General features: G+C 40.3%; 1 annotated feature.

The window, feature by feature from the left end:
• Positions 9396–9944: an enhancer, noted in NCBI's record as "NANOG hESC enhancer chr3:122026434-122026982 (GRCh37/hg19 assembly coordinates)". NCBI's record gives its function as "activates a minimal SCP1, AML or CMV promoter by ChIP-STARR-seq in naive H9 embryonic stem cells {active_cell/tissue: H9 hESC(naive)}" and the evidence as "EXISTENCE:reporter gene assay evidence [ECO:0000049][PMID:30033119]".

Below are 24245 nucleotides of genomic sequence, written 5' to 3'. Positions count from 1 at the left end.
GTGTATATAATTCTTCTGTTGGTAAAGCAGTTCCAAGCTTAATGAATTTATGGATTGCTGAAGCCAAAACCATCAGGCTCTCAGATTTCCATCCTTTCCCCAATCCCCATAGATGTATCTGTCCTCTTCTACTTTTCCTATGTCATCTATTTAAATGGACTCTTACTGAGTCTAAAGGATATGAAAAAAAAAATAGAATGAACTCTTAGAAAAGACTGCAAATCTTTTGCAAAACGGTACACATAAAAAAATCTTATGGGTATCTACATTTTGACGGAGTAAGTGCTTTAAGATGAAGAAATAGAATGGTGAAATTTTATGGATGAGGTGAACAAATACATTTTGGGAAGTAAGGTGGTTTATAGCATCTATGCATCACATCAATTAGATGATCACCTCTCAGTTTACCTGTAAAACTGGTGTTTCTTTGATTTAAAAACTTGTTCTGATTTGTTAAACCACAAGAGTCTATTCTACTCCCATACTTCTCTAGGAACCTGCCTGTATCCATTTCAACAGCCTGAAGTTGGCAAGGGTGGCAGTTCAGAAGTTGCTGCACAAGGCAGGAGGAAGTTTTATAATATGGGAAAAATAATGTTGGAGTAAATAATTCTAGAGAAGTGTTGAGAACTTAACAAAAATGTATCTAAACATAACTATTTATATTTACTTACATTTTCTCTAGATTATAAACTCTTTTTAAATATACAGTTCATCTAGGAGCAGGGGCTCATACCTATAATCCCAGCACTTTAGGGGGCCAGAGTGGCAGGGTTGCTTGAGGGCAGGAGTTTGTGACCAGCCTGGGCAACTTGGTGAGACCCTGTCTCTACAAAAAACAAACAAAAAAAGTAAGCCGGTCATGGTGGTGCATACCTGTAAGTCCCAGCTCTGCAGGAGGCTGAGGCGGGAGGATCGTTTGAGCCCAAGAGTTCAAGGTTACAGTGAGCTATGATCACACCACTGCACTGCAGCCTGGGCAACAGAGTGAGACCCTGTCTCAAATACGTATACACAGTCTGCATTAAATTTTCTTTAATGATTATCTTTAATTGAGCCGATAGTTATTTCTCAAAAAGTATAATGTACATATGAATTTACATCTCTTAGCTAACCACATACTAATTATTGGGGTCATGGTATTCTAGTCACTTGGAGTTTCTTGGCCATCCTTGACTTCTCTGGCTATAGAAAATTCCTAAAAGTACAGGAAAAACTTTTTTATTGTAAAAAGTGACAAAAATTGTAGCCAAGACAAGGCAAATTTAAAAAACTCATTCTGGCCACAGAGTGCTCTGGCTTTCCACTGGGGCTGGTTGTCAGTAACAGCCAGGGAGTGAGGCCATAAGGAGATCCCCAAAAGGTGAGTTCTGAGCCTCCGTGAGTTAGAGGTTAGTACTTTGCAGTGAATTAGGGATGGAGATGCTTTAGGCGAAAGGAAGGCTGGGATTGGAATGTGAGGGGATTATTTAACCCATATGTGCTTCTACGGTCCTGGACTTGGCTAACTTCAATGAGGCTTATGCAGATGCACTGAGAATGAAGATGGAAGATGGGATGAACATAACTAAAGCCAACAAGGCTGGGGGTGTGCCTGCCCTAGGGCTCCCCTCTGGGTGCCAGGACATAGAGGGTGAGCGGTGGGAGTGAAACGGGAAGAGTTCCCTTGTCCCCCTCACAGGGCGTGTGACAGGGGGAGTGGCTCACTTCTTCAGTGCCCAGCTGCTCAAACCTCTAGGGGGAGCATGCAGAAGGGTAGGTTGTGGGGCTCCGACCCCACAGCAGCATCTAGGGGTGAATGCTTACAGCTCCTGAAGCCCCAGTGGGTGTGTGTTACAGAGTGCTCTTTTAGCTTTGCTGTCTGTAGGTGGCTTGTGTCAATCAGCTCTATTAGACCCTCTGCCTTATAAGGACAGAGGGCGTTCTGTATCCCGGGGTTTTTGCCTTGGTGTACCAGAAGAACCAGATCACATGTGGGCTTGGAGAATGAGTGTAAGGATTTTTATTGAGTGGTAGCTCTCAGCGAGGTAGATGGGAAGGCCAGAAGGGGGCTGGAGTGGGAAGGTGGTTTTCCCCTGCAATCGGGCTTCCGGGCAGCTGGGCTCTTCTCCGACCACCCCAGCCAAACTCTGCATTGTTCCACCAGTCGATGGCCTGCCGAAATCTGTCAGTGCCTGTGGGTGTGCTCTTACGCGGGTGTGTTCCTCTCAATTTCCAGCCGCTTGTGTCCTCAACCATTGGTGTGTTCCTCTTGATGTCCAGCTGCTTGTGTGTGTGCCCGCTAGGATCTTGGAGTTTTTATAGGCACAAGATAGGGGTATGGCAGCCCAGGGTGGTCGTGGGAAATGCAATATTTGGGCATGAGAACAGAAATGCCCATCCTCACCAAGGTCTGTGGGCACAGGTCTGGGGCTGGATCCCCAGCGAGGGACTACGCCTTTCCCTTCCCAGCACTTTCCCGCCCCACTTGCCCCACTCTGTATCAGGAGCATAGTTTGCAGGGCTGTAGGAACAAAGAGCTACCCAGCATCTTTTCAGAGTAAAATTTTCAGCCACCCGCAACTTTTCTCACTTCAAAGTGAGTGTAGCAGCAATCATTTCCCTCTCTCTTCTCTTCAGGACAAAGAAACCAGTGGTCTCAACAATCCCAGTGGCTTTTGGGTGCTCTCAGAACAATGTAGAGAAGCTTGTATGGGCTCAGGGGTCATTCAAACCTCTGCTCAGTAGCCTGGATTGTGAGTTGAGTTGCGTTTTTGCCCTTTAGGGGAGAAAGAAGTTGTTGTAGAGGCCTACCCACACTGAATACTCATCAAATGAACCAGCAATACTGGAGTTGCCTCAGTTTTTATGACTAATAGTAAATTCCAGGGTGGAGTAATGTTATACAATCAATGTTGCTGTGCCTGTCAATATAGAGAAAATTCTGCCCTGCCAGAAATATACACGGATCATAGGCTCTCCCAGTGTGACTTAGTATCAGTTTATGCCCTAGGAAAAATGAGCCCTAAGACTCATACATAATCATAGAACCAAGCTCTCAAAGGCTTCTTGATAAATGTTAATTTATGAGTTTGGTTTTAGCATGGATTAATTATGCTGCTAGGTTCAACTTAGCAGTGCTCTGGTAAGTTGGGCTGGGAACCACCCACACCAGAGTCAGCTGGGATGCCTGTTCAGTGCAGATTCCTGAGTCCCATTCCTAGATTCATTAAATTACAATCTCTTGAGGGTGGGCTCTAGAGTCTGCATTTCAAAAAGAGCTCCCAGGTGATTCTCATATGCATTACATTTAGAAGCCTAGTAACTTACAATGTTGGTGTCCTAAGTTTATAGAGGCAGGAGGGAGGTGAAAAGGTGGAAATCTGGAAGAGTAGTCCACTGCTAGGTGGAAAACATTTTTACAAAGAGAAAACACGTGAAAACAGCTGAAGAAAGAGCCAAAGCAGATGTTGGCAACACGTGCTATCCATATTGAGGTGGGTGCAGGTGGATTCTGGGTTCCTGTTGCAGCACATCTAGTATATACTACATGGGGGCCTATAACATGTCAGTCCTGCAAAGTTTTGTCCTAACCCAGTGGCCTACCCCCAATCCTAGCTGAGGATGCTGTGCCTAGGCAGGTGGAGCTCTTTAATCAACAGGGACAGGTGGTGGCTATAGCTTCACCACTTCATGGGAGTGTCATTATCTTCTATGTCATTTCCACCTGGATCCTTCTAGTGTTCCTTTTCCCCTGCACTGACACAGCCACCTGGGAGAGAAGGGAAGGGAGAGTTAAACTTTAAAACTTCTATTTATTTGTATCCATTGATATTTAGAAACACTGGATTCTTACAGAGGAAGTTTTAAAGACTGAAATAGCGTATTAGCAACCCAAACCTTACATTAAACTAAACAAATGAGGTCTTGGCATAATACTTCTAAGATGTTGGCAATTTACAACTTAAAAGCTCATAGCATAGAAACTGAGGGGGAATATTGCCAGGAATTATGCAAACATACTGGCGGTGATGACTTTGCAACATCTTTCAAATTCACCCTTCCTTGCTGTTTTCATAGCTATCACTCCCTTAAAGCTTTCATCACCCTCTTATTGGCTTATTGTTGACACTCCCTGGTTGGATCCTACCCTTCTAGTTTCTCCTGAAAACCAAGCTCTTTCTCATACACTGAAAAAATATTGCTTCCTAACTTGGGTACTTCCTGTCGTCTATCAAATTCATTTACAATTTTAAGAATAGCCTCCAAGTACTCACAGGTCTTCCTGAACCAGATTCTCTCTCAGAGTTTCTCTCTAGCTGGGTCCTCTTAGATCCTCTTGCACCTCTTTCTCATTCTCATTCTTGCTCCTGTCTCCTTGTTCATACAATGCCCCTTGAAAAGGATGTCATTCCTTCTGTTCTCCATTAATCTACATGCAATACTGCTTTCAAAAACCACACTACCCAAAGCCTTCTGTGGTTTCCTCTAGTTCTTGGTTTGTACTACATATTCCTGTTATCTCAGTTATTACACATATATTTTCTGTTTATCTTCTTGCTGATCTGATTATAATCTCTTCCATGGCAGAAACTGTTGTCTTGATTGTTAGCCATCACATCTCCCAGATTATGAAACACAGCAGCTGCCCAGCAAATATGTGAACAAATTCATAGATCTCACCACTTTCTCATTGGGAGAAGAGGGCAACCAGCCAACATGGACTTCTGGAGTCCTTGAAGGGCATTGGATAAACATGTCTTTGTCAAGTTTTAGGCCAGGCGCTGTGGCTCACGCCTGTAATCCCAGCACTTTGGGAGGCTGAGGCGGGTGGATCATGAGGTCAGGAGTTCAAGACCTGCCTGGCCAACATAGTGAAATCCCGTCTCTACTAAAAATACAAAAATTAGCCGGGCACGGTGGCGCCTGCCTGTAGTCTCAGCTACTCAGGAGGCTGAAGCAGGAGAATCGCTTGAACCTGGGAGGTGGAGATTGTAGTGAGCCGAGATCACGCCACTGCACTCCAGCTTGGGCAACAGAGTGAGACTTCGTCAAAAAAAAAAAAAGAAAAAAAAAAAAAGAATCCAAAGTAAAGAAAATACAACAGAACAGCCAGGAGTTCAAGGTTATATTCCCTGATGATCACAGGGCTCCAGTTTCTCTGCATTGCTGGCCAAGGGATGGCCCAGATGCTTGGACAGTTTGATCAGTAACTTAACAAGTCTGTTCGTATAAGTGAGTTGGTTGGCAGTCTCTATACATGGCCTGAATTAAGCCTGAGGCCTGGTAGTTTGATCCCAGCCAGCACAGTTATGGACCTGCTGGGTTGCACAGTTCCAGGAGCATTATTCATACCGTATTCTAAAATGGAGCTCAAGTTCGTGGGATGTTTTACTAAGAATATTTTATTATTTTTCAGTAAAAAAAGGTATGAAAAAAAGAAGGCTTTTGTGGAATGGCTTTAACTTCATCCCAATTTTCAAAAGAGGGCTTTCTGGAGGTAGAGTACCACAGCAGTTAACAGGGTAGTGCAGGCCAGATGGACAGAAGTGAGGGGAGTCGGTGTAACTGACAAGCACTGGGAATTCCTGAATGAGAGAGCTGAGCATGTCCCTTTGGAGTGAGGGACAGCTGAATTCAATAATCTGCATAGCTGTGTAAACCTGGGCAGGTGACTTCACCTTTCTGAGCATCTGTTTCCTTGTCTGTAAAATGAAGATAATAATAACTACCTCACAGGGTTGTGAGAATTAAATGGAAAATGTATGTAGAAAATTTAACTCCGTGTCTGGTATATATGTAGTTAGTGTTCCTAAATGGAAACATATTTTTGTTTCCAGACACCTTATAAACTATAGCAACCATCCTTACGTTTTTTGTCCTCAGCTGCATTGTGAAGGGTCTAGAAATATAAAGGGAGATGAAGAAAGTAAAACCGGATAGAAGGATGCATTTCGATTTTTGGGTTAATTTTTCAATATTTGAAATAGAAGAGATAAAAGTCTCATCACTATAACCAAGCCAGGTTGGATACCTAAGTAGTTTTTCTTCTTTCCTTTCATAATGTAAAATGTGGCACTTAGTAGAGATGTTGGGTGGATAATATTGGGTGGTCTCTTGGTTACAGGGTCTACTTCTGACTGACTCCTTTACCTTCTCCTGTATATTGTCATCCTTTCACAGTCCATGCCTTGGTCTTCTCATTTCCCAAGTCAGAAAGATGGGTGTTATCCTCCAGTCTTCTTTCATGCTCAGCTCTCTCATCCAGGAATTCCCAGTGCTTGTCAGTTACATCGACTCCCCTCACTTCTGTCCATCTGGCCTGCACTACCCTGGCTCAGGCCATGGTTATCTCACCGCTGAAGAACAGCAATAGCTTCCCCTGGCCTCCTCCTGCAACCATGCTCCTCTTTCTACACACAATATCCAAATATTTCTTCTAGAAAGCAAAGCCAATTGTATTATTTCCTTAATGAAAGTCCTTCAATAGTTTTCCGTTATCCTTAGAGTGTACTTCTCAGTCTTTAGCACAGCCCTCTCTGACCTGGCTCCTATCAAGTTCTCCTAAGGTGCCCTATTCCTCTTGCTTCTTTGCTTAGGTTGGAAACACTTCCTTTTGCTTCCGTTTGCCAGCCTGATTTCTATTGATCCTTCATGCCTGTTATGGTTTGAACTGTGTCCCCACCTAAATTCATATGTTGAAGTTCTAACCCACAGTACCTCACAGTGTGACCGTATTTGTGTGCCCAGATTTGGCAATGACAGGGGAGCTCTTCTTCATCACATTCAAAATTTTTCACTAGTTATGCCTAAGACCAGTGCTGTTCCTGCTTCTGATACCATTCCTCTACCTTATCTGACCTACAAGCCTATGTGAGAAGGTGAGGCTGTCAGATTTCTCCTGAAATAAATGAGACAGAGCAGAGCCTGAAGAGAGAGGGTGGGGTCAGCAGTTACGAAGTCTAGGACAAGTAGTTAGACCAGATGTTTACACAACAGGTTCTTCATGACTGAACCTGTGAGCCAGGACATTCATCAACTATATAACATATCAAGGTTATTTCCTGGTTCTGTAGTCATTTGTGGGGTGGTAGTACAATCATAGTACAGTCTTCTCTTTGGATCAGTAATTAGTATATGTATGATTTGAAAAATATTTTTATTAAGCACATTAATATCTGAGAATTAAAACAATAAGTACATTTTCCATGGGACAGACAGGAAATTTAATTAGTATAAACAATTTCCTTGGTGAGCAAGAAAGCCCAACCAGAGACTGAGATAATTTCAGGGAAGCTTTCTTTTCTTTATTATTCTCGTCATTGAAGATCCCTGCTCTTGTTTTTTTAAAACCATTTTTTGAAGTACAGCATATACATAGTGTACAAATCATACTTCAATAAATGCTTTTAGTTTTAAAAATATTTCTCTAATTATAAAAATAACACATGTGCATTGTAGAAATGTAGCTGCCCAATGTGTTCACCATGCTCGCTGTCTAGACAGAGCCCTATCAAGACAGGGAAATTGTAATGGAGAAAGAGTAATTCACATAGAGTCGGCTGTGTAGGAGACCACGATTTTATTATTACTCAAACCAGTCTCCCTGAGCATTTGGGGATCAGAGGTTTTTTTTTTTTTTTTTGAGACGGAGTTTCGCTTTTGTTGCCCAGGCTGGAGTGCAATGGGGCGATCTTGACTCACCGCAACCTCTGCCTCCTGGGTTCAAGCAATTCTCCTGCCTCAGCCTCCGGCATGTGCCACCACGCCCGGCTAATTTTTCTATTTTCAGTAGAGACGGGGTTTCTCCATGTTGGTCAGGCTGGTCTCGAACTCCCGACCTCAGGTGATCTGCCTGCCTCGGCCTCCTAAAGTGCTGGGATTACAGGCATGAGCCACCGCACCCTGCAATAAAGTTTCCCCAGGTAAGTCCTACACACATTAAACTTTGATAAGTATTGTCCTTTGTTTTTTGAGATGGAGTCTTGCTCTGTTGCCAAGCTGGAGTGCAGTGGCATGATCTCCGCTCACTGCAACCTCTGCCTCCCGGGTTCAAACAATTCTCTTGCCTCAGCCTCCCGAGTAGCTGGGACTACAGGCACGCACCACCATGCCTGGCTAATTCTTGTATTTTTAGTAGAGATGGGGTTTCACCATGTTGGCCAGGATGGTCTTGATCTCTTGACCTTGTGATCCGCCCGTCTTGGCCTCCCAAAGTGCTGAGATTACAGGTGTGAGTCACCGCGTCTGGCCAAGATCAGAGTTTTTAAGGATAATTTGGTGGGTAGAGGCTTGGGAAGTGGGGAGTGCTGATTGGTCAGGTTGGAGATGGAATCACAGGGGTTCGAAGTGAATTTTTCTTGCTGTTTTCTGTTTCTGGGTGGGAGGGCAGCACCGGTTGAGCCAGATTGCCGGTCTGGTTAGTCGAGTGCAGGGTCTCCGAAATATCTCAAGTACTGATCTTAGGTTTTACAATAATGATATTATCCCTAGGAACAATTTGGGGAGGTTCAGACTCTTAGTGCCAGAGACTACATGACTCCTAAACTGTAATTTCTAATCTTGTAGTTACTTTGTTAGTCCTACAAAGACAGACCGGTCCCCAGACCAGGAGAGGGTCTTTTCAGAAAGGGCTATTATCAATTTTGTTTCAGAGTAAAGCCATGAACTGAATTCCTTCCGTTAATTTGGCCTATGCTTAAGAATGAACAAGGACAACTTAAAGGTTAGAAGCGAGGTAGAGTCGGTTAGGTCTGATTTCTTTTACTGTCATAATTTTCTCAGTTATAATTCTGTAAAGACAGTTTCAGAAATATCCAAACATATGAAAAGAAAATCATTATTACCAATAATCCCACTTGTAATTTCGCCACTGAGGGATACCTTTTAAAATTCTGGTGAGGAATTTTGCAACCTTTTTTTAAAGGCTATATTTAAGTATATACATTATAAAATTGTGATTGCACAGTTCCTTTATTATTGCATACACCTTTATCATTTTTATAGTGAATATTATCACATAGTCTTCCTCAATGTGACATTTAACAGTTGCATAAAATTTTTCAAGTGATCTTACTCTAATATGGAAACATAGGGCCACAGTAGAGAGAAGTACTCAGTTGAGGAAAATGGGGTTAGAAGTAGAAAGTGTATTTGCCAATTAATTTCAGTAGATGGGGTGATGATTATAAATATGAAATTGTGCAAGCAACTCATCTAAGAACCTATATAAATACTGAAAAATAAACATGTGGCTGGATAATATTTCAGGCATTTACCTGCACTTTTATTCTTCTTAAACTTCTCCCTGGCCTTTCCCCCATTAAAGCTAGTGGTCAGTCTGTCCTCATTGTCACAGGAAGGAGATGTTGCATGTTAGAAAGCAGAAGTCTGCAAGTCTTTCTGTTTTCTGTTTTTAAGACATGAAATTCTAGAATGGAGAGAGTGTAGAGAAGATGTCTGCATGTAATGGAAGTAAGACTTGAGAATATTGTCCCAGCTAAGTGGAAGGAAATAAATGCACAGAGAACTCTGAGGCCTGGAGCAAAGGAGGGTGGTAGTAAAACTCCAAAGGTGAAGTTGCTTCCAGCTGTGTCCAGGAAGATGATTCCTCAGCTGTCCCAAAGGTGTTAATAGTCCCCACTGACTTCACATAGGAGAGATGCTGTGACCAAAGGCAGCATGGCTACCGGCTTACTGAGGGCACTCAATGTGCATCCCCCCAGGGCTTCTCCTCTTTAGCAGTGAAGCTCCTTAACCTTGAAAGACTTATTTATGGAGATGGGGCATTTTATAATCACTGTCTCCTTCTAGGAGTTGCTTTAAGGCGGCCTGTCACCAGGTATGGGTCTAAAAGCAGCTATCTTCTTTCTCTTCTCTACCATTTACAGGCATTTTTGCACAGACTGACCATAAGTATACATTTCCAACATTGTATTCTTGTAGCTATTAGAACCAGTTATGTGGCCATCAAGCTGATCAGATCTTGGTGGAAAGATGAGTGTTCTCACGGGTGAACAGGGGAGAAGAATGAATGCATGGATTCCTGTTTTGGCTCATACTTCAGATTCTGACCGTGTGGAAGAAAGGACTAACAGAAGGTCAAGTAGAGCTCTTACCTGGAACTCGCTGTTCCATGAAGTAAGTCTAAGTTAGCCATTCTCATTTACAGCAGAGTTAGTGGAAAACTATTTTTTTCTTTTTTTTAACAGTAGAAAAGAGAAGTGAGGTTTTCTGGGGGCTTCCCAGTTGGGAATTTTCACGTCTAAACAACAGTAAGGCAGTGATTCTTAGACACATGAGGATAACTGTGGGAATCTGTGGTGGAGGAAGGCAGGGAGAAGGACATGTAAAATTTGGAAACCCACATACATATTTGGAAGAACAAAGATTACTTTTCAAATAATATGAGCTGTATAAAAGATGTGACATCTTTCAAATTCTTGTTTAATGGGGATGTAAGTAAATAAAGTTTGAGAAACTGCTTTAGGCTGTAGAAAAATGTGCAAGATAGTGTAAAAGAAGTATAAACCTAGTGTTAGCTAAATAAGGAATCAATACCAGTTTAATCAACAGAGACACAAAGCTGGAGTTTAGAGAACATCTAGCCCAATGGTTTGCAAACTACAGCTCCGTGAGTCAAATCTAGTCCAGCTGCTTGTTTTATTTTGTTTTAAATAGCCCTCAGACAATGGTTTTTACATTTTTAAGTGTTTGAAAAAGAAATTAGAAGAATAGTATTTCATAATGTGTGAAAACTATGCAAAATTCAAATTTCAGTGTCCACCAATAAAGTTTTGTTGGAACACAGCCATGTATTGTCAATTGCTGCTTTCATGCTACAATGACAGAGTTGAGAAGTTGCAACAAACAACGTATGGCCTGCAAAGTTTTTTCATTTAAAAATGTTCTTTTCAGAGACAGAGTCTCATTCTGTTACCCAGGCTAGAGTGGAGTGGGACAATCATACCTCACTGCAGGCTCCAACTCCTGGACTCAAGCAAGCCTGTCACCTCAGCTTGCTGAGTAGCTGGGATTACAGTGCCAGCCACTGCACCCTGCTGGTCTGCAAGGTTTTACCTGGTACTTTACAGAAAACATTTGCTGACCTCTGAGCTAGCTCACAGTTCAGGCAAAGAAATCGAAGCCCTGAAAGTTTAACTGATTTGTTCAAGCTCAGATGACTACACACAGTGGTAGGTTCTTAATATTATTAATGAAATCTCTTTACAGTCTATGTATTTTTTGGTTATTGCTACTATGTCAGCAGTTTTACTTTCCCTCTGAATCTTTTCTAGCTCCAAAGATATTTCCTAATAGAATTTCCTAGAGAGTACCCACAAATACTTTTGGCAAACACAAGGTATGTTTTGCTTTGCTTCTAATGCACCTTTAAAGGATATTAAGCATTTAGCTGACCTTTCCAACTAAGGCACCTGTAAACTGCTTGAAATGTCTGCATAAATTAGCTTCCAAGTCTGTTAGCATGCTGTTTATTACCGTTTCAGAACTTTACACGCAATTAGGATGTATTGCCACCAAGTGGCCAATGGCACCTCTGTTATGCTTTCTCCACTGGGCTATCACAGAATTATCATAGTTTCACAGGATCTAGTGGTTGGAGGGAATCTTAACTCCAGCCACTTAACAAGGAATTGTTGCTTAAAGAGATCATTATGCTGTCTGGTCAAGTGTTAGAAATAGAAAGAGTTGTTTTTTCAAAGTTAAGCATACATTCTTACTTAGTCACTTTTAAGGCCAGATAGAAAGAAACGCAAACTCACAAATAAGATTTGGTGTTATCCTGAGACTTCAATTGTTATTAATCACTGATAAAACTAACCCTGTTGTCAGGCTATGTAGCAGCTTCCTAACTCAGTTGGTTATTTTCAATTAAGTATCCCTCAGAGGTGTCTTAAAAAAATCTGACATAAAAGCCCTTGCAGCCTGATTATTTCTCTTTTTATTAGAAGAGAAATGGTGCTAACTTTGCTTATAACCTATCAGGACAAGAGCCTGCTCACCTTCACAGCCTTTTTCTTAACCTCATGTAATGGTGTGTTGGTGTCTTTTGCCCATTTTTATATTGAGTTTTGGGGTACTGCCCATCACCTATGACAGATGTTGCAAATATTTTTCTCTCAGTTTGACTTTGCCTTTGGTGCTCTTTTTTGTGATGTGCCAATTTTTTATTTTTACATAGTCAAATTTATCAATAAGTATTTTCTTTTACTGAGTCTGGATTTGGAGTCACAGTTAGAAAGTCTTTCCTCAGGTTAATAATTCACCATTGCTTTCTCCTTGTATTTATATGGTTTAGCTGCTGCTTCTTTTTTTTTTTTTTTTTTTTTTTTGAGACAGAGTCTCGCTCTGTCGCCCAGGCCAGAGTGCAGTGGCATAATCTCGGCTCACTGCAACCTCTGCCTCCTGGGTTCAAGTGATTCTCCGGCCTCAGCCTTCTGAGTAGCTGGGACTACAGGCACGCGCCCCCATGCCCGGCTAATTTTTGTGTTTTTAGTAGAGATGGGGTTTCAACATATTGGCCAGGCTGGTCTTGAACTCCTGACCTCGTTATCTCCCAAAGTGCTGGGATTACAGGTGTGAGTCACCATGCCTGGCCAGCATCATCTTTTAAGTTTAGATCTCTGATCTATTATGAGGTTATTCTTATTCTTCTTCTTATTTTTTTTTTTTTGAGATAGGGTCTCTCTCTGTCGTCCAGGCTGGAGTGCAGTGGAGCAATGTCGGCTCACTGCAACTTCTGTCTCCTAGGCTCAAGCAATCCTCCCACTTCAGCCTCCTGAATAACTGGGAGTACACATGCGTGCTATCATGCCTGAGTAATTTTTGTATTTTTGTAGAGAGCGGGGGTCTCACTATGTTTCCCAGGATGGTCTGGAACTCCTGAGCTAAAGCGATCAGCCCACCTTGGCCTCCCAAAGTGCTGGGATTACAGGCGTGAGCGACCAAGCCCAGAAGAATTTATTCTTATGTATAGTTTAGAGTGTGGATTCAATTTTATCTTTCTCATAATGGCTATCACGTTGTCTTCCCACCATATATTAAATAGTCATATTTGCCCCAGTGATTTTTTTAGATGCCATATGATTTTTTTTCTACCATATTTTAAATTTACATTTATATTTAGGTTTAATTCTGGACTTTGAATTCATTTACACAGATCTATCTATGTATGTGCCAAAACCAAACTTTCATTATGGAGCTTTTCTTTTTCTTTTTTATTTTATTTTATTTATTTATTTATTTTTGAGACAGAGTCTTGTTCTGTTGCCCAGGCTGGAGTACAATGGCACTCACTGCAACCTCCACCTCCTGGGTTCAAGCAATTCTCCTGCTTCAGCCTCCCAAGTAGCTGGGACTACAGGTGCCCCCCCACCATGCCCGGCTAATTTTTTGTATTTTTAGTAGAGACAGGGTTTCGCCATGTTGGCCAGGCTGGTCTCGAACTCCTGACCTCAGGTGATCCACCCGCCTCAGCCTCTCAAAGTGCTGGGATTACAGGTGTGAGCCCTCACATCTGGCTGGAGATTTTAAAATATATTTTAATGTCTGGTAGTGCTACTTTTCCCTTATAGTTCTTCTTTTTCTTTTTTCTACCCACCTGACGACTGGCCTTATGGTTCTTTTTCAGTTTTTTTTTTTAAAGCTGTTCTTGCACATTTATTTTTTCACATGAACTTTAGTATCAACTTATCTAGTTTCAAAAAATCTTCTTGATATATTTAATTGTGAATCGACTTGGGAAGAACAGACATCTTTTGAATGTGATCCTATTCAAGAACATCTTTCCATTCATTCAAGTCTAGTTTTTGGTATTTTAGGAGTGTTTCAAAATTTTCTTCATACCGATTTTGCACATGTCTTGTTAAATTTATTCCTTAGAATTCATCTTTTTTTTGTTGTTATTGTCAATAGGACTTTCTCCTCTATTTTATTTTCTGATTGGTTACTGTTAGTATTTCTAAAGGCTGTTGATTTCTGTTATGTTAGTTTTACATCCTGCTAACTTTAGAATTTTTTAATTGCTTTGTTAGTTTTACTTTGTTTTTCTAAGATTTTACAAATATTATGTCATCTGTAAATTGCTAGCTTTAGGACTGAGGTGTATATATTTTATTACATTAATAAAAAAATACATTAATTCCTACATTCTTGAGTGCTTTTTTGACAGCATTGCTTCATCAGGTGTAGTGGAATGGTGATTTTTCTAGTCCTGTCATTACTTTTGCTATTTGTGCATGTTGTTATATTTAGTTTTTGACAGTTTTATTGTGGTATATAATTGATGTACAATACACATATTTAAAGCATACAATTTAATTAGTTTTGACATACTTATATAGCTAGATAGGTTATTATATAGTCTGTTACTAAATTCTGTATATTAACTGAATACTTACATAAAGAAGAATTTTCCATCATCAATGATTTGATTACCCTAAAATACAGTTCAAGTAGAGAAAGGAAGGCTAAATGCTTACTTCTTTCTCTTAATTAATCAATGAACAAATAATAACTTATTGCCCTGAAACTTCCAATTGTGAGAATTAAGTTTTTTAAAAATTCTTTTTTTGGGAGGATGGGGTTTAAGAGAGTGGTATTATGAACTAATGAATTTTTATATATTTAAAATGTTTCAGACAACCTACAGAATGGGAGAAAATTTTTGCAAACTATGCATCTGACAAAGGTCTTATATCTAGCATCTATAAGAAACTTAAATCTACGAGAAAAAACAAACAACCTCATTAAAAAGTGAGCAAAGGACATGAGCAGGCACTTTTCAAGAGACATACATGCAGCCAACAAGCATATGAAAAAAAAAGCTCAACATCACTGATCATTAGAGAAATCCAAATCAAAACCACAATGAGATACCATTTCACACCAGTAAGAATGGCTATTATTAAAAAGTCAAAAAATAACAGGTACAGCCACGGTTGTGGAGAAAAAGGAATGCTTATACACTGTTGATGGGAGTGTAAATTAATGCAGCCATTGTGGAAAACAGTGTGGTGATTCCTCAAAGACCTAAAAACAGAACTACCGTTTGACCCAGAAATTCCATTGCTGGGTATATCCTGAAAGGAACAGAAATCATTCTGTCATAAAGACACTTGCATGTGTATGTTCATTGCAGCACTCTTCACAACAGCAGACACATGGAATCAACCTAAATGCTCATCAATGCTAGATTGCATAAAGAAAATATGGTACATATACACCATGGAATACTGTGCAGCCATAAAAAGAACAAGATCATGTCCTTTGCGGGAACATGGATGGAGCCGGAGGCCATTATCTTTAGCAAAGTCATGCAGGAACAGAAAACCAAATACCACATGTTCTTACTTATAAGTGGGAGCTAAATAATGAGAACACATGGATACATAGAGGGGAATAATAGAAACTGAGGCCTACTAAAGGGTGGAGGGTGGAAGGAGGAAGAGGGTCAGGAAAAATAACTAATGGGTACTAGGCTTAGTACCTGGGTGATGAAATAAACAGAACAACAAACCCCCATGACATGAGTTTACCTATATAACAAACCTGCACATGTACTCCTGAACTTAAAAGTTAAAAAAGTTTTCAATCAATTACAATCATCTTCTTTTACTGATGCTCATATTGTTCCATCTTAGGCTTATAGAAGCCCCTCAAGTTGGCTCTTACGTGTTTTTGATATAATTACAGTGGACTTTGATAGCTTCTTTGTTTTTTGGCACAATAACATATCATAGATTCAGCTTGTATATTTCCTACCACAGCCATGGAATCAATCATTTCTCTAAGAAGTCCTGGTTCCTTTTAATAGGGAATGGCACATAGAACTATGGGATATTTGTATATTCTCAAAAAAACTTTCTAAAATTATATGTTGGTTCAGTAACCAATGATGTACATTAATGACATACATTATTGGGATAATGCTTTTTAAATAAATTGTCTAAGTTAATAGTGTTTAGTTTTGTCTTTTTTATATCAGAGCCGAATAATTGATTTCAAGTAATATTATTCTATTTTGCCTATTATCTTTACTGATGATCTATATTTACTATGATCTATATTTACTTACCACAAAAACTGTTAAGAAAGGGAACTAGGACCAGCTAACAGGGAGGCCTGAGGACTTAGGCTCACTCTTTAGGTGACCAGAAACTTGAGCAAACAACCAGGTCTTTCTTTGTTTCTGACTCTTTGTCTACATAGGCAGGGGTAAAGGCAATGACCTGTCTTTGTGAATAGTTGGCTGCTGTGTATGTTACTTGGTCATTTGATGTTAGCAACCTGTTGGTCTTAGCCAGAGAAGCAAAGGCAGCCAAGAGAGGCCTATAAAAGGGGCCAGATAAATGAGAGACACTTTCATCTTTCAGACCCAGAAAAAGGAAGTGGGTATGAGTGAAAAAACAGACCCTGGCCATTCCTCACTTAAGTCTCTTAAGAGAAAGTTTTCTTGACAGAGTGATGGGGAGGAGAAAATGTGAGCCTTAAATTGGATTAGAAACTCAAGTTTTGGCTGGGCATGGTGGCTCACACCTTGTAATCCTAGCACATTGGGAGGCCAAGGCAGGCGGGGGGCAGGGAGGATTGCTTGAGTCCAGGAGTTTGAGATGAGCCTAGGAAACATGGCAAAAACTTGTCTCTACTAAAAAAAAAAAAAATTAGTGGGGAGCAGGGTGTGGTGGCACACCCCTGTAATCCCAGCTACTTGGGAGGCTGAATTGCTTGAACCCAGGAGTCAGAGGTTGCAGTGAGCCAAGATCATGCAACTGCACTGCAGCCTGGGTGACAGAGCGTGACTCAGTCTCAAAAGCTCAAGTTTTACACTAGACAAGACTTCTTTTTAATAAGTGAAAATGACTGGAAAGATGTAGGTTCTACCCAAAATTCTGGTAAGGGATGGGAAAAAAGATTTGGCAAAGCCTGGTCAAAGGCAGTAACTGGAGGAAAGTAAAACTATTTGAGTTTGTAGCCCACAATGTTCAATAAACTGGATATATTTGGTAACCATAATGGAAGACGTCAAATTTTTGTGCATTAATATAAGAAATAAAGATTCTGGAATGAAGACTTAGGTAGGATTTTTATTTATTTATTTATTTTTGAGAAGGAGTCTCACTCTGTCGCCCAGGCTAGAGTGCAGTGGTGCGACCTTGGCTCACTGCAACCTCCGCCTCCGAGGTTCAAGCAATTTTCCTGCCTCAGCCTCCTGAGTAGCTGGGATTACGAACACCTGCTACCATGTCCGGCTAATTTTTTTGATTTTTTTTTAGTAGAGACGGGGGTTCACCATTTTGGCCAGGTTGGTCTCAAACTCTTGACCTCAGGCGATCCGCCCAACTCGGCCTTCCAAAGTGTTGGGATTACAGGCGTGAGCCACTGCACCCGGCCTAGGTGGGATTTCTTTAAGCTAGATGTTGACAATCTCTCCTACCCTCTCATCTCAGGCTTTTACTGCAATTCAGTTATGCTCCACCAGGTGGTAGCAGATATCTTGGCTCTGTCATCCACAATATGATCAAATTATAATTTTCTGTATGAATTCCATTGTAGATTTAAACTATATATTTTCAAATAAAAATTAAAAACTAACCATTTTAATAAAAACTTTTAATCATTAAGTATTATTTTAGTACTTAATATCTAATATATTTATATTACTTATTTTAATAATATCTAATATATTTATATTAAGAATTATTTTAATATAAATAGAAATCAGTATTGACTAGTCATATTTTCTCAAGTCAAAAAGGCAAACTATATAAAAGTATTTTTCATTCTATCTCTAGCTAATCCTGTTCTTGTCTCTGGGCTTACTAGAATGATACTGTTTAATTTTTTTCTCTGGTGTTCTCTTGTATGTCCGTAGAAAATGACTGGCGCAGCTCTGGGACTTTAGTCAGACTTAGAAACACAAATTTCTTGCAGCCTCCTTCTGCTACTGGTTGTAGGATGTTGGTGTTTAGGGAATAATTTTTGTGCCTGCCTTCTTTTACTTGGCAATAATTTTCTATTTATCATATTCAGAGTTTCACTTTTATCCCTTCTGTTGGCAAAATCAAGAAATGAAAATCTCTGACCTGCTCAGACTAAAAATCCCCATTCCACCAAGTGAGGCTTTCTTCAATGAGAGGGCAGTAATTTCCCACTGATTCATAGAAGAACATCACTTTTTTTCCCATGAGCTTTTTGACTGGAAACTTATCTAAACTATTTTACATAAGGTGGTAGTTATCTTGCCACAAATCTGAGTTGCTACAAAATAGCTTTAAACAGTTCTATACAAAGGGAGCATCTTGAATCCAAAATGTAAAGTTTCTGAGCAAAAGTTTAACAAACATTTGTAAAGAGTTTTTAAAAACAAATCCCCCAACTTTTTGTTACCAAATTTCTAAACATTCAGAAACAGTGTAGCAAACACCTCTATATCACCACTCAGATTACATAATTATGAGCATCTTGCCATATATTTTAACATATATCTGTGTCTATTTTTTTGTATAAAACATTTAAAATTGAGTTGCAGATATTGTGACCAGTTACCTCAAAACTGTTTGGCATTCATCCCCTAAATATAACGACATTTTGTTACATAACCACATTATCACCCCTAGGAAAACTAACAATACTTCCTCAATTTTATCTAAAAATCAGTTCAAATTCACATTTCCCAAATTTTTCTTTAATTCAAATGTTATAATTATATTTGGTTGCTATATCTCTTTAGACTTGTGTATTAGAAATGCCATATATGTGTGCCATGTATGTGTGTGTGTATCTATCTATCTATCTATCTATCTATCTATCTATCTATCTATCTATCTACCTACCTACCTAGATACTGACCTTTTGATGAGACCAGAACAGTTGTCCTATAGAAAGAATTTCAGTATGTTGGATTTGTCTGATTTTTCTCTGTAGTGTCATTTAATCCTAACATCATATTGTCAAATGAATTTTATGACAACCAATTCCTATTACCATGTGAAAGTTTTCAGAAGTTGCAGTGGTTTGAACACACAAAATCTTTGTGGTCTGAGAAAGACCTGATTCTTTCACGGTTCAGGAAGACTCGCAACCATAGAATGTCAGAGCAGAACCACCCCTGCCTCCCCCAGTGGACACATTAGAAAACTGAGGCCTAGAAAGGGCAAGTGTGAAGGTGTCTGTTCTATTGCTGTTGTAACAGATGACTGCAAATTAGTGGCTTAAAACAACACAAATTTGTTACCTTATAGTTCTGGAGGTTGGAAGTCCAAAATGGATCTCACTGAGTTAAAGGTACTGGCATTTCTTTCTGGAAAGTTTAAGGGAAAATCTGCTCCTTGCTGTTTCTAGCTTTCAGAGGCCACCTGTGTTCCTTGGCTTCTCGTCACTTCTACCATCTTAAAATCTCTCTCTGACTCTGACCCTGACTCTCCTGCCTCCCTCTTCCACTTATAAGGACCCTTGTGATCCAGCCCACCTGGATACTTTTCCTATCTCAAGGTCATCTGATTAGTGATCATAATTCCATATGCAACCTAATTCCCCTTTGCCACAGAACATAGTTACAGGTTCCAGGGATTAGGACATAGACATATTTGGAGGCCATTATTCTGCCTACCACAGTAAGTGACCTGACAAAAATTATACTGCGAGTTACTCGCAAGAATCCTTTAGTACACTGCCATCTGAAATGTTTGTTTGTTTTGCACTGGAATTTGGTAAAAGGTGATACTATATTGAACCCTGTTCAAGAGAGTTTAATAAAAGAGGCATTAAAGGGATTTTTTTTTTATTATAGAATGGCATTTTTTTTTGAGACGGAGCCTTGCTCTGGACGGAGTCTTGCTCTGTCGCCCAGGCTGGAGTGCAGTGGTGCTATCTCCGCTCACTGCAAGCTCCGCCTCCCGAGTTCACGCCATTCTCCTGCCTCAGCCTCCGGAGTAGCTGGGACTGCAGGCGCCCGCCACCACGCCCGGCTACTTTTTTGTATTTTTTTAAAGTAGAGACGGGGTTTCACTGTGTTAGCCAGGATGGTCTCGATCTCCTAACCTCGTGATCCCCCCACGTCGGCCTCCCAAACTGCTGGGATTTAGAATGAGATTGTTATAACCAGGTGGATGCAGTTTGGTTCTGGAGGATAGTGCTAATTTGTGTATCTGATACATCTGAAGTCAGATCGTTTTACCCGCTAGTTTTGTTAAGGAAGCTGAGTGTTTTCTTTGACTATAATTAGAGAATCCAAATCACTTGAATCTTACTATTAACTTCAACTTGACATCCTAAATTCTATTTGCCTTCTTTTATCAAGCACAGTGAAAGAATCCAAAAATGTAGGAGAGGCATACACACCTTTTGTGGGTTATCTGCTCAAATCAAATCCAAGAGGATCATCCATCAATGTCCAAACTCACACGATGTCAAGACTTACTGCTTTACTAAAAGGTGAGTCTCTGCCGTGGTCTTAGATCCTTTCAAAGTCCACAAGGCTCTGTGGGGTTGACTCTTGTTAGGATAATTTCTATAACTGCCAATGTTGCAAAGAAATTTTTGTTTCTGGCTCGAATAAATATTTTCTCCAGATCAAAATTTTTGTTTCTGGCTTAAATAAATATTTTCTCCAGATCACACTCATTGATGTCTCATGAAATGCAATAGAATATGTCTCATTGATGTTGGTGGGGTTTTTCTGAAGTGGCAAATGAAAATCATTGAATATTGTTGATCAAGTAGGAAAATCCAGTTTATTGGGAAGGGTGAATTATGAGGTTATAGTTAACAGAAGTGAAATGTTTTAAGTTAGTGGTTTTAGATCACATATTGGGGGGAGTCAGACAAGATAGGAAGGAAGAAACTACAGAATCTTGCCTATATAACAGAACAGGGAGTTGAGCCAAGAAAATAGCTAGAGTCAAAACCAAATGTGTCGAGGGATTCAGTTGAACTTTGAAATCTCTACTCTTGGGTGTCCTGATTATGTGGCTGACTCCTTAAGGGTATTATAATGAAAAAAGCCACAGCTCCCACCTTAGGGGAATGTCTGGAAGGAGTCTGGGAGGGGGCTTGGGACCAAGGAAGTGATGTTGAGGGCATGATTTTGAATTTGAAATAATGGTTGTTAAAAAAAAGATTACCCAAGCACTAGGCAAGATGGTCAGGCAGATTTTACTGGAGGGGGCCATGGCAATAGGTGTAGGGACCACTGCAACAGGGTCTTGCCAATCAGACTTAACTCTGACCCCAACCAGTACAAGTGGGGATTCGTAGCGAAGGAGCAGGGTGGTGACTGTGGGTGGAAAATGACTAAGAGGAAACATCAGGGATAAGGGGTGTCTGGCTAAACTAACTTGATAGGATTCTTGCTGCAGGCAGGCCAGGGTGATAAGATATTGAGGGTGGTCAGATACCTAGAGTGGGGGATTTTCCCTAACCTGACTTAACAGGATTCTTGCTCACATTTGATTCAGCAAGGACAGGGAGGGAAGCCCAAGGTTGGGCCTAGTTATGAGGAGCACTCAGAGGAGCTTGACTAAAGTTTTGGTCAAAGGAAAGAGTCTTTGTCCCTGTTATTATTCACACCTGGGAACTCAAGAACTTTTTTTGGGCCTTTCAGCTGTGTTGAATCTTCCATGGAAGTGGCTGTCAGGGGAAGTAAGTGGAGTGTTTCTGTGTATCTGCATTGCGTCATTTATTTTATCCGGTGGCCCTTGCTGCCTGGAAAAGAACCCCAGGGCAATAGGAATTTAGAGTTTATTCTTTTGCATGTTCTTAGGTCCTGGTCAAGAGGGTTGCCTGGAGGGGCAAACAGAAACTAGGTATATCAAAAGATGCTTCCAGGTGAGGAGAGTATATCACCCCCATTAAGGAACCTGGAGGAGACAGGTCTCCAGCAATGGAAGAAGGCTCCAAAGAACACATGAAAGTACCCACAAGCAAAAGAGTCAGCTGTAACTTACTTTCCTTCCTCCCTGTGTCCCAGTTTCGGAGGGATTAACCACGTGTGCACAGAGGAAAGGGCACGGCACAAATGGGGTGAAGGGGGAAATGGCTAACCACACCCTCTTCTCTGACTATAGGCTTGTTCATCTGCAGGAGGCCTGAGCTGAGGAAGGGGAAGAGGCCCAAATGAAACTGTGTTCAGAGTTTTGACTATCACATGAAAGTGTACAAAAGTGAAGTTACTTTAGGATTCTATCCCAAGAGCTTTGCTTGCTCAGTAAGATTGTTACAGTTGTGATGGTCCAGGCTGGAGATGTCTGGGGCCTTCATTAGCATGGTGGGAGGTGGAGGAGGATGATGAGGCACAGAAAGAGGAGACATTGAGCAATGCTAATAACATTTGGTCTGTTTTGTGTTTGGTTGCATAACAAAGTGATGTTAAAAAATTGTTCTTTGAATGTTTTGTCTTCCACCTTATCACAGGTCACCTAATATTGACCAGAGTGTGGGAAATGAATTAGCACTCTCCATAGCCTATCCAGTCAATAATTCTGCTGGATTTACCTCAAGAGCCCAAAAGTGACTTCCTCTAATCTCCTGTCTCCTAGAATCTTGGCTTTCTTAGCCCTTAAATCACAGTTAAAATATATATCTCAGATCTCAGATAAGGCTTTCTTCTGTCCTCCCTTCTTTTCTTCCTTCCTCCCCTCTCTCCTTCCTTTTTACAGCAAAGTTATGTAACTTTACAAAAGAAAAGCAAATGAACAATAAACTCAGTTTCCTCCATCCTATTCCCTCGTTTTGCTTTTCAGTGAAATTGTATTCATGTTATCCTGTGTGGATATCCTATTCTGTGTCCTGTTCTTCCCTAAACATTATTTCTTGAACTTGATTGTGTTTTGACATAGTCCACATGTTTGCACAGCTAATGTCTGTGGGCTCCCTGACATGGAATTATAGCATAATTTCCTTAGCCTGGGTGTTGGGCGCTGGATCCTCTCCTGTTTTTCTCACAGGACGTCAGCAGTTGCCAGTGCTCCCCGGGTGCAGGCCTACCCTCAATACGGCCCAGACAGGTTCTCTTTTAGCCTGAACACGTTGGTAACTAATTAATTTTGCTGCCTGTTGGATTATTTACTTGGGACTGTGCATAAAAGAGAAATTTCTGGCACAAAGGCTAAGAAGGATCTGTTAAGAAATTTTTAACATTTTGCCAGAAGACGATAAAAAATGTGAACCAGCCAAGAGTTGGTTCACCTAAGGATAAGATCATAAATGGATGAAATGTTAGAAGATCCAGGGGACTTGTTTTTCATTAAGCTCCAGGAAGGCCTTTCTGATATAGTCCAAAGAATTACTTTTTAACCTTGTTGTAAAAGTCTTAATTTGATTTTAAATTTTTTGCTGTCCAACTACAATTTTAGCTGCCTGGCAGACTTTCAGGTTCTCTTTTTTGTGAGTGTTTGACAAACTTTTCTTGTGGCTAATTGAACCAGTCAAATCAGTGAAATTCTTTGGTGTGATTTTTTTTTTTGACTAATAGTATTTTTTATCCTTCCACTGCTTTTTAACATTTTTTATTATGGAAAAAAATTTAAAACTAAAAAAAAGAAAGGGAAATAGAAAAACGAACCTTCCTTTACCTGTCACCCAGCTTCAATGACCATAATTTTCTGCTCTTCCTGTTTTATTTCTCTCCCTTATTCCTTTTTTCCTCCCCATTCTAGTATTTTAAGGCAAATCCCAGACATCATATGATTTCATCCATAAGTACTTAATGCGCATCACATTTTTTTAAATGACCATGGCACAAAGGACAAAGCAAATGGGCTAAAATGTAAACAGTAACTGAATCTGGGCAGTGGGGATTCAAGTGTTCTTTGTACTACTTTTCCTTTGGCAAATTTTCTGTAAGTCTGAAATTATGTCCAAATAAAAGCTTAAACAAATGAACAAACCAAAAACATGACCATAATATTGTCCTATCTGAGAACTCAAGTGACAGATTTTTCTTGTTTTACGATACATTACGCTCATGGAAAGAAATTAAGGAACAAAAGCTCAGAAAAATATTACAAAGAAAATACAAATCACTAATAATTCTAACACCCAGACATAATCACTATTAAATCATTATGCATTTTCTCCAGGCTACTAAATAGACACTTGTTGTACTGGACCCGTATTAACTGCAGTAGGGATGGCACCAGGTTCAAGAGGCTGAAGAAGAGACCTGGAGCCAGCAAAGCAGGCACAGGGTTTCCTGAAGGGGACTTAAATACAGGGCAGTTCAGTGGTGGTGGACTGGATGGGAGAAC

Source organism: Homo sapiens, chromosome 3 (assembly GCF_000001405.40).
Source record: "Homo sapiens chromosome 3, GRCh38.p14 Primary Assembly".
Taxonomy (NCBI): domain Eukaryota; kingdom Metazoa; phylum Chordata; class Mammalia; order Primates; family Hominidae; genus Homo; species Homo sapiens.
This window is presented reverse-complemented; position numbering and strand designations above follow the sequence as displayed.